Raw genomic sequence first — 14,570 nt, forward strand, 5'->3', positions numbered from 1 at the left:
TTGAAGTCAGGTGGTATCAGTCCTCTGACCATTCTCCATCAATATTGATTTGGCTATTTTGGATCTTTTGCCTCTCCACATAAACTTTAGAGCCAGTTTATCCATATCTACAAATAACTTCCTGGGATTTTGATTAAGATTGTGTCATTATGTAGAATCTGTAGATCAAGTTGGCTATCTTGATCTGCTGCTATCTTGATAATATTGAGAACTGCTATCTTAATAATATTGAGTCTTCTGGCCTGTTGTGCTGGCGCACACCTATAATCCCAGCACTTTGGGATGCCGAGGAGGGTGGATCACCTGAGGTCAGGAGTTTGAGATCAGCCTGGCCAAAATGCCGAAACCCTATCTCTACTAAAAATACAAAAAAAAATTAGCCAGGCGTGGTGGTGTGTGCCTGTAATCCCAGCTACTCATGAGGCTGAGGCAAGAGAATTGCTTGAACCCGGGAGGCTGAGGTTGCAGTGAGCTGAGATGGTGCCACTGCACTCCAGCCTGGGTGACAGAGGGAGACTCCATCTCAAAAAAAAAAAAAAAAAAGAGTCTTCCTGTTCATAAACATAGAATGTCATCCCATTTATGAAGTTCTTTGATATCTTTCATCAGAGTTTTATAGTTTTTCTCATATAGATCTTGTACATATTTTGTTACATTTACACCTCAGTATTTCATTTTGGGGGATGCTAATGTAAATGGTCATATGTATTTAATTTTATTATTCATTTTTCTTTTTTTGTTTCCTGTCTTGCTCAAATATTTTTAATTCTAAATTCCAATTGTTCTTTGCTGGCACACACGAAAGCTGTTGACGTTAGGACACTAACCTTATATCATGAAACTTGTCTGAAATTGCTTCTTTGTTCTGGGGTTTTTTCCTTTTGTCAACTCTTAGATTTTTTTACATAGATGATTGTGTCATCTGTGAACAAAGCAGTTTTGTTTCTTCCTTTTTATTCTGTATACCTTTTATTTCCCTTTTGTGTCTAGTTGCATTGGCCAAGACCTCCAGCAGGATGTTGAGAATCGATGGTGAGAGGGGACGTTCTTGCCTTGTTACTAATCTTAGGGGAAAGCATCTAATTTCTCACCGTTAAGGATGATGTTAGCTGTAGGTTTTTGTAGATATTCTTTTATTTATTTATTTATTTATTTATTTTTTGAGACAGAGTCTCACTCTGTCACCCAGGCTGGAGTGCAGTGGTGTGATCTCGGCTCACTGCAATCTCCGCCTCCTGGGTTCACACCATTCTCCTGCCTCAGCCTCCCAAGCAGCTGGGACTACAGGCGCCCACCACCACGCCCAGCTAATTTTTTGTGTTTTTAGTAGAGATGGGGTTTCACCGTGTTAGCCAGGATGGTCTCGATCTCCTGAACTCGTGATCCGCCTGCCTCGGCCTCCCAAAGTGCTGGGATTACAGACGTGAGCCACCATGCCTGGCCGATCATGTGATTTTTCTTCTCTAGCCTGTTGATGTAACGGATTGCATTAGCTGATTTTTGAATATTGAACCAGTCTTGCATACCTGGGATAAATCTCTGTTGGTCATGGCCTATAATTCTTTTTACATATTGTTGAACTGTATTTGCTAATATTTTGTTGGTAATTTTTGCATCTATGTGAGATATATTGGTCTATAGTCGTCTTGTAATGTCTTTGTCCCGTTTTGGCATTAGGGTGACAGTGACAAATGACTTAGGAAGTATTCCTCCTGCTTCTATCTTCTGGAAAAGATTGCAGAAAATAGGTATTATTTCCCCTTAAATATCTGCTAAAATTCACCAGCGAACTCATCTGTGCTGTGTGCTTGCTTCTTGATAAATGAATGCTGTGACTGCAGTTTTGTATGGAGACTTCATTACATTCCACTTTGGGGCATATGAGGGTAAAGCTACAGCTTTGTATGTAGGAGAGTGGCTTCACCTATTGGGAGAAGTCATTCTCCATGTAAGTTTGGAGTCTGCTCAGATCAAAGACTGTGAAGGTTAATATTGAGTGTCAACTTGATTGGACTGAAGGATGCAACGTATTGTTCCTGGGTGTCTCTCTGTGAGGGTGTTGGCAATGGAGACTAATATTTGAATCAGTGGACTGGGAGAGGCAGGCTCACTCTCAGTCTGGGTGGACACAATCTAATCAGCTGCCAGCATAGCCAGAATAAAGCAGGCAGAGGAATGTGGAAGGATTACACTGGCTAAGTCTTCCAGCCTTCATCTTTCTCCCGTGCTGGATGCTTCCTGCCCTCAAACATCGGACTTCCAGTTCTTCAGCTTTTGGACTCTTGGACTTACACTGGTGGTTTGTCAGGGGCTCTTGGGCCTTCTGCCACAGACTTAAGGTTACACTGTCGGCTTCCCTACTTTTGAGATCTTGGGATTCAGACTAGCTTCCCTGCTTCTCAGCTTGCAGACAGCCTATTGTGGACCTCACTTTGTGATCGTGTGAGTCGATACTCCTTCATAAACTCCCCTTTATATATACATCTATCCTATTAGTCCTGACCCTCTAGGGAACCCTAATACAAAGATTATATATATATTCTTTATATATATATATATATATATATTTTTTTTTTTTTTTTTTTTTTGAGACAGAGTCTTGCTCTGTTGCCCAGGCTGGAGTGCAGTGGCACAATCTCAGCTCACTGCAACCTCCGCCTCCTGGGTTCAAGAGATTCTCCTGCCTCAGCCTCCTGAGTAGCTGGGATTATAGGCGTGTGCCACCATGCCCAGCGAATTTTTGTATTTTAGTAGAGACAGGGTTTCACTATGTTGGCCAGGCTGGTCTCAAACTCCTGGCCTCAAGTGATCTGCCCGCCTTGGCCTCCCAAAATGTTGGGATTACAGGCGTGAGCCACCGTGCCCAACCAAAGATATTCCTTTGGGAGCTTCCTTCAACAGCACTTACCCACCCGCAAGAATGAGCTTGAACACCTGCTTTGCACCATGTGACCTCCTTTCTGACCCCATGACTACATTTTATTGGACCAGGCATAAACAACTGATGTAAATTGGACCAGTCAGATTCTCTCTTCAGGGATTTGGGATTTAGAACTAAGAGGCAGCTACCTAGTTTCTGCATAAAGTTGGAATTGAGATTTTCTAGACACAGGAATTGTGGACCAATTGTGTTGGAGTTATTACACCAGATAGGTGTAAAAGTCCCGCCTGCTGAGAGGATTCTGTGGAAGCTGATCAGGTTGCTGGGGCAAGTGGAGGCAGGGTAGAGGTGAAGGGCTGTGGGATGGAGAACCTCAGAAGACTCCATCTGGGGTCCGGGAAAGGACAGAGAGGGTATATGAGGGGTCGGGCCCTCCAGATCTAAGGGTGGGGTGGTGGCATGTTTCTTGAGTTGGTTCCTGGAAAGGGAGCTGAAATGGTTTAATCGCTCTTCCATGAAACGCAGGCGGTGGGGACAGCCACCAGACAGGTAAACACACTGTGCATTGATCCTTTTACGACTTTTGTGAAACTGATGGACAGGCAGGCAGGGAGGGGTCCTGGGAGAGAGTCTGGGGCACTCCATCTTGGGGTATCTCTTTCGCTCTCCTCCTTAGCGGGCGAAGCTTTGGCCTGTGCTGGGGTGGGGGAAGAAGAAGGTGATGTGGAGCATGAAGCAAGGTTGGGGTGGAGCAACTGAGGGTTTCCAGCATGGGTAACCGGGCTGATTAGGACTGGATCCAGCTGCCCCTAATGCTCCACTGCTGCCCAGCACTTAACCTCCACACTCTGTGCCCTCTGATGGTTGGGAGAAGTCTGTGTCCAGCCCTTCGGCCACCAGAAGAAAATCAAGAATGGAATTCCTGGTTTTGGAGACACAAAAAGTCAGAGAGACTTTATTTAAATAGAGTTAATTTGAAGTAAACCAGAGAGTTTTGTGTGCAGAAGCATTTTGCTTAACTTAGGGCCATCACCACATTATGAACTCGTGTGTGTGTGTGTGTGTGTGCACGCGCGCGTGCACAGGCTAGTGTCCTTCTGTGGGTGTGTCTGCGTGAGGACCCATCCATGCATGTTTGATCTTTATGGCCTCCCCCTGTGCACCTGCGCCTATGGATAAGGTATAGTCTTGTCTTGATTCCCAGTATTCATTCTCCTTGAAGAATCCTGACAGCCTTCAGTCACCTTCCCTTTTCCAGTCTCCCAAAAGCAATGGCGCCTTAAATGTGCGGTAAGGATGAGGTGAGTCTTGAGGTAGCCTAGGCCACAGCTGCCCCTTCAAGGCAAGGCCTCAGCTGAGTTCAGGAAATAGGAGAACCTGGCCCCGGAGCAACCCCAGAAGCGCAGGACCACGAACGTCCCGACCCCCAGCAGCAAGAGGCCGCCCAGGGCCCCAAAGAAGATGCCGAAGAACGCGTCGAGTTTCATGCTCAGGTGCTCACAGTGCTCGCCCCAGGCCGTGTAGATGGAGAAGGACACACAGCTGGTGACCAAGAGAGACAGACAGGCGGTCAGAGGCGGGAGCTCAGCCTCCCAGCCCCTCCTCTTCTGCTGGGGAAGAAGAGGTTCTGTAGGAGAGGCTGGGCTCGCCCCACTCTCCGGAGAGACTGAGTCAGCCCTGAGGCCGTGCTGAAGTGAGACCACTGGGCAAAGGAGGCAGGTGTGGGCTTTAAAAACATGGGCCTGGGCCGGCGCGGGGGCTCACGCCTGTAATCCCAGCACATTGAGAGGCTGAGGCGGGCGCATCACTTGAGGTCAGGGGTTCGAGACCAGACTGGCCAACACGGTGAAACCCCATCTCTACTAAAAATACAAAATTAGCCAGGCGTGGTGGTGCGCACCTGTAATCCCAGCTACTCAGGAGGCTGAGGCAGAATCGCTTGAACCTGGGAGGTGGAGGTTGCAGTGAGCCGAGATTGCAACACTGCACTCCAGCCTGGGGGACAGAGCAAGACTCCGTCTCAAAAAACAAAAACAAAAACCTGGTGTGAATTCAGCTGCACGTGCAGTCAGCTGCACCTGGGCGGCAGGGATGCCGGCCACAGGTGGGCATGCGCAGTCACACCCCCGCCCCAGCCCGGCCCCGCCCCGCCCCGCCCACCCGGAGAGCCGGGCCCCGCCCCACCCGCGCTCCGCCCGCCCCCTCCTTCGGCGGGATCTGGAACTGCAGCTGGCGGAGGGCCCGGAGCCCAGGTCTGCGTGGGGCCGCGGCTTCCTGCGCTGTTAACCAGCGGAGCCCCGGGGACTGCTGATGAGGGCAGGGGCAAAGGCGCCTCGCTTGACTGAGGGGCAGGACTGGCCTAGACACAGGACTGCAGGTTCTTTTCCCACAAGGAGACAGCAGGGAAGCAGCAGCCAGATCAGGTGGGAGGGTTTGACTTTGGGCCCTGGCGCGGTGGCTCACGCCTGTAATCTCAGCACTTTGGGAGGCCAAGGTGGACGGATCACCTGAGGTCAGGAGTTCGAGACCAGCCTGACCAACATGGCGAAACCCCGTCTCTACTAAAAATGCAAAAATCAGCTGGGCGTGGTGGTGCATGCCTGTAGTCCCAACTACTCGGGAGGCTGAGGCAGGAGAATCGCTTGAACGCGGGAGAAGGACGTTGCAGTGAGCCGAGAACGCACCACTGCACTCCAGCCTGGGCGACAAATGACACTCCATCTCAAAACATAAAAATATAAAAAATGTTTGGCTTTGGAAACCATGCCCTGCTGCTTAACCTACTGCGTCCTGGGGCAGGTTCCTTGTCATCTCTAAGCTGCAGTTTTCTCATCTTCGAAATAGTTCTAAGCCCCCCTATGGCTCTTTTGGGTTTCAGAGTTTGTAATATAGCGCCTTTATTCTCCACACAGAGCAGGCACTCACAACTCTCCTTTTCCACTGTCCTCTCTTCCCTGGTCTCTGATCTCTCGAGCCATCCTAATTCCTGGACCCCTTGCAGTGTCTTGCCCAGCTTGGGTTCCCCAGCACTGTCCTCCACCTCCTGGCCACAGCCCTATGCACCTGCAGCGGGGCCCACTGGGCAGGTGCTGGCACTGGCCTCCATGGTCACAGTAGCCCCTACTGCACGGGGACACGCAGGTGAAGCCGCTCTGGGGGCTGTAGACCAGGTCGTAGCCCTTGTAGCCATCGCATCTGAAGTAAGCCTTCAGCGTGCTCACGTTCACTGTCGGGAAGGACACAGATTAACACAGAAAGCAACCGATGAACACTAAATCAGTACCTTTTCAGCCACGAATTCCTTTTCGGGTGTTTATCCTGAGAAATAATTGGAGAAGTGCACAGATACATATGCCCCTGGACGTTCAGATCAGCATGGTGGATAATAGTAACGTTTCAGAAGTAGGGTCTGGTTAAATAAACTACTGCACATCCTTACCAAGGGATGGTGCTTCCTATGGAAAAAGTTTCCTAGGGAAAAAGGTTCCTAGGGAAAAAGGTTCCTGTGGAAAAAGGTTCCTATGGAAAATGCTTTCCTGAAGAGCACATGCTTTGAAGGTGGCCAGACTTGGGTGGAAACTGAAACTCTGCTAGTGACTAGATGTGTAATTCAGGGAACATTCCTTCACTCTTTCAGCTTCAGTTTCCTTATCTTTAAAAGGAAATGATCATAATAGCACTTATGCTGCTGTGAGATTTAAATGAGATAATGTGTCCACAGTACTCAGTACAGTGCCGGACACACAGTAAGCACTCAAACAATGGTAATGATTATTATAATGTATTTTAAAATATGACACTATATTCAAACATACCATCATAATATGTCAAATGGGAATGTGGACAGAATATATGAGACAACCTGTTCACAACTGTTTAATGAGGAGGTTTTCCAACATTAGGAATGATTTGATCCTTCAGTAAAAAATGGATGTCTGAAGGTTCCTAGGCATAAAAGAAAGTTCAGAAGGATATGTAGGAAATACTGTTGTCTCTCTGGGGATTGGGATTACAGGGTTTTTTTCCTCTTTTCTTTTTGTTAAGTTTGTGTTTCCTAAAGTTTCTGCAATAAACATACGATGCTTGTATAATAAAAATTATAGGTTTTCCTTAATTGCATAGTCAGGGCTTGCCTCCCTGCGCCTCCTACCCCAACTCCCCAACATACAGTAGTTCTGAGGGATTTCACCCCCTGCTCCGGGAGAGAGCGGGCTTAGCCTGGATTCTGGGAGAAGCTCTTGCTTGGTCCCAGACCCAAGTAAAACAGCAGTTCCTGTTGTGTTTGGGGCGGCCCCTGCCCTGTTCTCTGCCCTATACAGAAAATAGGACGTGTTATTCCTTTGTTTCTCTGACAAGCTTGCCAACTTATTCCTGTTCCAGGAAAACCGGGGGCTGTCAGCACTGAAAGGGGGCTCAGAAATCCCATCTCATTTTCAGATGGGGGTGCTGAGGCCTGGCCTGGGGAAGGTGCTTGGGGAGTGTTGAGGCCTGGCCTCGGGGAGGTGCTGGGGGGTGTTGAGGCCTGGCCTGGGGAAGGTGCTGGGGGGTGTTGAGGCCTGGCCTGGCCTGGGGAAGGTGCTGGGGGGTGTTGAGGCCTGGCCTGGCCTGGGGAAGGTGCTTGCACAGGGTGACACCATTTCAGGGAGTAGTTGCCTCTGTCCCTGGCCAGTCTCCAGTCTCCAGCTTCATATCCTCCCGCTGGAGAGCAGAGACGATGGGGGTGTCCCTGTGTATGCTTAAGTGCAATGGCATTTTAAGAAAACTATTAGCAATTTTATGAAACTAAATTGCTGCTGTTTTATTAGCAGCCACAGTCAGCAAGGCCCTGGCTGGGTGCTTGCTCCGTGAAGCTGTATACGTGTGACTGCCTCAGCAGTGCTGGCTGCTCCTGCTCTCGAATCTAAAAAGCAGCTGGACAAAATGTTCACGTTTTCGCTCAAAACCAAACAAACAGAAAAACTCAATTAGCTTGTTTGTGTGGGCTGAAGCACCTCTGTTTGCCCGCCCCCCGCAGTGACCCCCATAGTGTCCCCGGAATGGACGGACTCACGGGCTGTCACATCGCGCACGTCTTCCCCGGAGATGGGCTGGAAGACCACGTCGTTCCTGGGCTCCTCACTCCTCCGTGGAACGTGGTATAAGAACGCCTCCACCACCGCGGCCAGCAGCTGGTTGTTCAGGAAGTCAATGACCGGGCCCCGAGGGCGGTACTGGAACTCCGAGATGACCATCCAGTGTTGGATGGGGCTTCCCGAGGCCGGTGCTGCAGAATCGCTGTGTGGGAGGGCAACGGTGAGGGGGGGTGGGGGGCTGGGGGTGGGGGATGAGGAAGAGATCTGGGGGCTTAGGGGGACACAGTCCCACTTACATTCGTTCCACTTGGCTGTTGCGGAGAAAGGCCCGCATGTCCAGGGTCCCCAGTCTGTATGCCACCTAGGTTAGAGGATGGCAGATGGGGGTGGGGGTGAGGCCCCATCCGGGGGGGAGACGCCCTCCCACCTTGATGGGTGTATTCATCCCTGTTTCCTCCTGGAACGGGAGCCCCAGGACCCCAGCACCTTCCTCACCTGTCTCTGCACCCTTGCACTCTAGCCTAGCTCAGTGAGTGTCATGGGTCCTTGCTTAATAATGTTTGTTGAGAGTGAAGGGTTTTCCATTCTGTCCCCCCCTCAGCCTCATATGACGAGCAGAGAATCTGACATGAATGGCCCCTACCTTGCCTCTGACACATGACTCATGACCTCCTCCCCAGTATATTGAACATGGGTTGTTTAGACCTAGGAGATGGTCGGGGCTGGGGGTGTCAAGGTGACTTAGGTGGAGTCTAAACTCAAAGAGTGCATTGTCTGGCGCAGGTGACAAATGTCAACAGATTTTACCGTGTGGAGTGTGGAGTGGGGAGTGCTAGGCTTGCAGTAGTGATAATAGCAGTCATCATGTTTGAATACTTGTGTGTCAGGCACTGGACTAAATGCTTGACACGCGTTATCATTTAAACGGTGATACGGCCTGTTGACTCAGGTGCTATGATTGTCCCTGTGTTTACAGATGACCTGTTATATGATGTGTCTAGTTAGCACACCTGCTCTAGTGAGGGGCAGAGCAGGGATTCTGATTCTGGGTGTGCAGGATTCTACAGCCCCAACCACTCAGCAGTTGTGCCACTTTGCCTGTGACTGAGGTATGGCATGGCAGCCAAGAAGAGGGAGCCGCCCGTTCCCTCTGGGAAGTCAGGGAAGACTCCCGGGAGGTGAAATGTCCTTTAGTTTCTTTCAGATCATAACCAAGATGCTTAGAGGTCTCGGCTGGGGTGACTTGGCACCCTGGCCTCTGCTTATGATGAGTCGAGGTTTCTGTCTTGGGCCTTCCTCACTTCCTAATGCCCTGCACCTCCCATGGGGCAAGAGGCTCCGGCCTCCTCTGGCAGTTGAATCCAGATGGATGACAAGATGAAGGCCGCACAGCGATGGTTCCGCCCTGGCCTGAACCCGCCAAGCGCCCCCTCCCACCCAGAGCGCGGCCTGCAGCACTGACCGAGGCGTTGACTTCTGCCATGGAGGCATTTTCCTCTTCACTGAGCAAGAGCTGGATGACTCTTAAGGGAAGTTCTGGAGATGGGAGAAGCAAATGTATCATCACCCCACGGTTTACCCAGACTTACCCAAAAAGTCTGTCGGGCCAGCCCAAGTTGACTGCTCCATTCCAGTGACAGAAGGTCACTGAAGAAACCGGGAGAAGTGGCCCTCACCCTACATTCCACAGTGACAGAAGGTCGCTGAAGAAACCGGGAGAAGTGGCCCTCACCCTACATTCCACAGTGACAGAAGGTCGCTGAGCAAACCGGGAGAAGTGGCCCTCACCCTACATTCCACAGTGACAGAAGGTTGCTGAAGAAACCGGGAGAAGTGGCCCTCACGCTAGGGCTCACTCCACTATGCTCCGGGCCTCCCCAGCGCTCATCTCACTGAGCCAGCTGTGAGGTCTCTGCCTCCGTCCTTCCTCCATAGGCCACACAGGCCCGTGGTCCTTGCCGTGACAGCTTGCCTCGCCAGCTCCCATAGCCCGCACCTTACACCATCCCAGAGAAATCTGGAGCTCTGTCCTGTGACCCCAGAGCTTCCTCATCTTCCCCAAAGGTGGGCGGAGTGCGGGGGTGAGAGGGTGGGGCCCAGGAAGAGTGCGGGGGTGAGAGGGCGGGGTCTCTGGCGGTACCTAGGTTGACAGTTGGACTGAAGTTGTTCCCAGCCAGGAAGCAGCGGCTGTCAGTGAAGGCTGGGGGGCAGGTGCACATGGGCTGACAGCCCAGAGTCTGGGAGATGTAGCAGTGGCCTTGATTGTAGCAGTAATTCACAGGGCAGGACTGGTTCTGACACAGGAAAGAGCTCCCCAGAGCTGCAGAGTGAGTAGGGAGGTCAGCAGCAGCGCGCAGGGCAGCAGAGGGACGGCCCAGCCCGTGGAAACCCGCTCCGGGACAGGCTTGCTTTCCCCCAGTGTTCCACTTCGGGCCACTCGGAACCCCAAACCATCCTTCCCCCCTTTTCCAGGCGTTTCTCTGCAGGGCAACCCCTTTCCCCGGCCAGACAGGTATTCTTCCACTTTTGTGGAGGGACTGGAGTGTTTCTCAGACCCTCTGCTTCAGAAAGGACCCCGAAGGCTGGCAGAGGAGGGGCCCCCAGCTGGCTTTCCTCACGCCCTCCCCTCTCACGTCCATCTCCTTTTCTGCCTTTATAAAAGCTGCGGTTCTACCCACTCTGGCCTCGGCTCTGAAGGCACAGTGATCTGTAGATTTTATTTGGGTGCCTTAGGGGGCTTGGTAAAGGCCTCGCTGTGATCTCCCTCATCAGACTCTGGTGACTCAGAGCGGGAGGAACAGATGGCTGGGAGGACTCAAAGGGAAAATCAGGCACCTTTGCTGCCGGATCCCCACGCCAGCCCCTCCAAACGTCCTGACTCGTGAGATGCAGAGATCCTGAGCCTCGTGTCTCTGAAGATCCCCAGGGATCCCGAGGACCCAGCTTGCCCGGTTCTCTGGCGGCTGCTGAAGTCTCCTCCCCAAACCATCTTCAGTCTTTCGCCCGGGGCTCCCCCCATCAATGCCTCAGGGATGCCCAGCCCCGTCCCCTCCCCTATGCCTGTACAACCTCTTCTCCTTCAGCCCCACACCATCCACCACCCCCTTTCCAGGCCTGCCTAGATTTCCCATACCTGCCTAGATGATTTCCCACACCTGCCTAGATTTCCCACACCTGCCTAGATTGAGCATTCTAAAGATCTGCTGGAAAAAGGAGAGAAATGGTTTGCCTTTGGCTGTCTACACCCTTGAGCTATCAGCTGCTCCCAGAAGCGCCTGCTCCAGGCCCTGTTCCCGGCTCACCCGCACAGTGCCGCCCATCCCCAGTCAGGTTTGGAGGGCAGGCCTCGCAGCCCTTCCCAGGAACGCAGTGGACACTCGGGAAGCACGGCTCCTCACAGGCATCCTCGGAGCCCTCGCAGTAGCGGCCGAAGGTGCCCCCGTCACACTTGCAGCCAGCCACCTGGAGGAGGGTTGCCGATCACGGGCGGCCAGGAGACCAAACTGGGAAGGGCTTCTGGGTGTTTCTGACTGACCCCTTTGGCCTGAGAACCCGTGGACCCTGAGTCATGTCTCAGCCCCACCAGCACCTGCTGAGCACCTTCTTGACCAGGCCGTGGGGCGGCAAGGCCCTGCCTAAAGCCACACGGTAGTCCTGCCCAGCTGGCCTCCCTGGGTCATTGTTTACCCTGACCCCCTGCCTGGCCCTGCACCAGGATCTCAGCCTCTTCCCTCTCACACTCTAGCTCTTTGCCTGAAATCCTTTCTAGAGTAAGATGGGGGATGCATGAATGATTGAAGCATGAATGAATGAATGAATGTATCCATGTATAGATGTATGTATCCATGTATGTATGTATCCATGTATGTATGTGTGTATCCATGCATGTATGCATGTATGTATCCATGTGTGTATCCATGTGTGTATGTATCATGTATGTATCCATGTAGATATGTATCAATGTATGTATCCATGTATGTATCCATGTATGTATGTGTGTGTCATGCATGTATGCATGTATCCATGTATGTATCCATATGTGTGTATCCATGTGTGTATGTATCCATGTGTGTATGTATCCATGTATGTCCTATTGCTTGAAAACTGGATTCCTTATTTATTTTGAGACAGGGTCCCACTCGGTTGCCCAGGCTGGAGTGCAATGTCTTGATCTTGGCTCACTGCAAACTCCACCTCCCAGGTTCAAGCCATCCTCCCACCTCAGCCTCCCGAGGAGCTGGGGCTACAGGCATGCACCACCACGCCCACTAATTTTTGTATTTTTCTTCTGCTTTTTTTTTTAATGAGACAGTCTCGTTCTGTTTCCCACGCTGCAGTGCAGTGTCTCGATCTCGGCTCACTGCAATGTCCCCCTCCCAAGTTAAAGCAATTCTTGTGCCTCAGCCTCCCAAATACTTGAGATTACAGGCATATGCCACCACGCCCAGCTAATTTTTTGATTTTTAGTAGAGACAGGGTCTTGCCATATTGCCCAGGCTGGTCTCAAAGTCCTGAGCTCAAGCAATCCGCCTGCCTCAGGCTCCTATGTGGCCTGCAAACTGGATTTCATATAAGCTGAAATTGACCTCCCTTGCTGACTCCCAAACCAAGAAGACAGAGCCTCCCTGCTGAGCACTGTGAGAAAACACAGCAGCCAGTACAGCAGCTCAGCAAAGGCTGCGGCGCCGAGACCTCACCAAGCTCCCTGCGCTCCCCTTTCTAACTCCCTTACTGAAGCGACTCGGGGAATCTCCCTAAAATGGAATCCTCTAACACTTGCTACTCCCAAGAGTGGATATTTGGGGATCTGTGGAATAGTATATTGATTTCAATCTCTTTTTCCCATTGTGTATTTTATGCTTTTCTACCCCCTACCCCACCAACCGTCCCTACCTCTATCCCTTTCGAGTACCCATTCTCTGCTCATGCTTCAGAAGGATGTGTGTGTGTGTCTGTGTGTGCGTGTGCATGCGTGTGTGTGTAAGTGGTGAAGGAGGTAGTTTTGTGTTGCCAGATAAACACTTTCCTTTCTGGCTCTTCCTTTACAACCAAAAATAAAAATAAAAAAGCAGATAGGACAAGAGTCGTGGAATTAGGCCAAGTATCTTGGCTAGAAACATGGAGAAGTAGTTTCTCCAAACTGGAAAAGATGTTTCTTTTAGCTGGAAGGAGATAGTAAAAGAGAAAGCAAAGGGGCTTGGAGGTGTCAAGATAGAGGGACCCGCAGCTCTCTTCCCAGCACCGTGATGATGACATCCTAGGGAGAAATGACTGTGGGGTGCTTCTAGGCAGACAGGACTGTAAGCGGCCTCAGAAAAGGTGTCCTGTGTCTGAGCAAGGCACAGAAGCAGCAGAGCCTCTCCCTGGGTCTGAAGGGGAAGTGGGGCGGAGCTGTGATGGAAACCTGTGTGGACTCACGCCCAGGGACCCACAACCACCTTCCACCCCACACCGCAGGGCCCTCTGCTGGGCTTCGCCGCAGAGCTGTGGGGCGCTGTGAGAAAGACGGAGGTGGAAGTTTCCTGCCAACCTGGCAGAAGGGGAGGTGGGAGATAAAAATCCAGTTGAACTATAAGCAATAAAGTAAGGTTCTTTCCTCTTTCCTTCCTTCCTTCCTTTTTCTTTCTTTCGTCCTTCTTTTTCTCCAATATAGTTTCTTTCTTTCTTTCTTTTTCTCCTTTCCCTTTCTTTCCTTTCCTTTCTTTCCTTTCCTTTCTTTCCCTCCTTCTTTCTTTCTTTTCTTTTCTTTTCTTTTCTTTTCTTTCTTTTTGACATAGAGTCTCACTCTGTTGCCCAGGCTGGAGTACAATGGCGCAATCTTGGCTCACTGTAACCTCCACCTCCCGGGTGCAAGCGATTTTCCTGCCGCAGCCTCCCGAGTAGCTGGGACTACAGGCGCCTGCCACCACGCCCAGCTAATTTTTGTATTTTTAGTAGAGATGGGGTTTCACCATGTTGGTCAGGATGGTCTCGATCTCCTGACCTTGTGATCCGCTTGCCTCAGCCTCCAAAAGTGCTGAGATTAAAGGCGTGAGCCACTGCACCCGGCCAGAAAGTTCTCTTTCTTCCCATGTGAGTTTGTGGCCTGAGACTGGAATCTGCTCTACTCACCTACCACTGCTCCACCCATCTCCCAACACAGACACACCCAGGACAGGCAGAATCACAGCATCCATTCCACTCCCATTTCCTCTCCCCTCGGCACAGAAACTCCTCCCCCACCTCCCAACACTCACCTCCAGGGAGGAGTTGCCCACCCTGCTGGTCTGATTGTACAAACACTGGCTCTCTGCATTGCAATGGCAGACCACAGTCCTGGGCTGGAGTGCAGATGCCAAGCCAATCTTGGCACTTCTTGCTAGAATCTCCAGAGTGAATGGCTCCAGCGACTTGGGTGTCCACAGCAACGTCCCATTCTCTGCCCCGGGGAAGATGAGAATGTTGAGAGCTGGGAGACTCCTCGGCTCTGTGGTCTGATTGCTGATACGGGGCTTCCCCCACCCCTCTCAGGCCACCCTCCCCCTCCCCAGACAAATCTCATTGGTCATTTCCTTTGAGCAAGGCTGGTATCGGGGGTGATCCTGGTCACGCTCCCAGCTGGAAGGACGTGGCACCAG

The 14,570-nt window shown here is 51.3% G+C and overlaps 1 protein-coding gene across 3 annotated transcripts in view, besides 1 other annotated feature; it reads right to left on the reverse strand.

The window, feature by feature from the left end:
- MUC4 (mucin 4, cell surface associated) overlaps positions 3,814 to 14,570 on the reverse strand; it is a 65,159-nt gene continuing 54,402 nt past the window's right edge. For all 3 annotated transcript variants that reach the window (NM_138297.5, NM_004532.6, NM_018406.7), the window contains 8 exons: positions 14,190 to 14,371; positions 11,256 to 11,415; positions 10,094 to 10,273; positions 9,416 to 9,489; positions 8,250 to 8,314; positions 7,932 to 8,155; positions 5,945 to 6,107; positions 3,814 to 4,423 (listed from right to left, as the gene is read on the reverse strand). In NM_138297.5, coding sequence (NP_612154.2) covers positions 4,219 to 4,423; positions 5,945 to 6,107; positions 7,932 to 8,155; positions 8,250 to 8,314; positions 9,416 to 9,489; positions 10,094 to 10,273; positions 11,256 to 11,415; positions 14,190 to 14,371 — 1,253 coding nt within the window. In that variant the 3' untranslated portion in view covers positions 3,814 to 4,218. The remainder of the gene's footprint in view (positions 4,424 to 5,944; positions 6,108 to 7,931; positions 8,156 to 8,249; positions 8,315 to 9,415; positions 9,490 to 10,093; positions 10,274 to 11,255; positions 11,416 to 14,189; positions 14,372 to 14,570) is intronic.
- Positions 4,585 to 4,751: a silencer, noted in NCBI's record as "fragment chr3:195474413-195474579 (GRCh37/hg19 assembly coordinates)". NCBI's record gives its function as "represses an EF-1alpha promoter that drives an FKBP-Casp9 reporter gene in an ReSE screen in HepG2 liver carcinoma cells {active_cell/tissue: HepG2}" and the evidence as "EXISTENCE:reporter gene assay evidence [ECO:0000049][PMID:32094911]".

Source organism: Homo sapiens, chromosome 3, assembly GCF_000001405.40.
Source record: "Homo sapiens chromosome 3, GRCh38.p14 Primary Assembly".
NCBI classification, from domain to species: domain Eukaryota; kingdom Metazoa; phylum Chordata; class Mammalia; order Primates; family Hominidae; genus Homo; species Homo sapiens.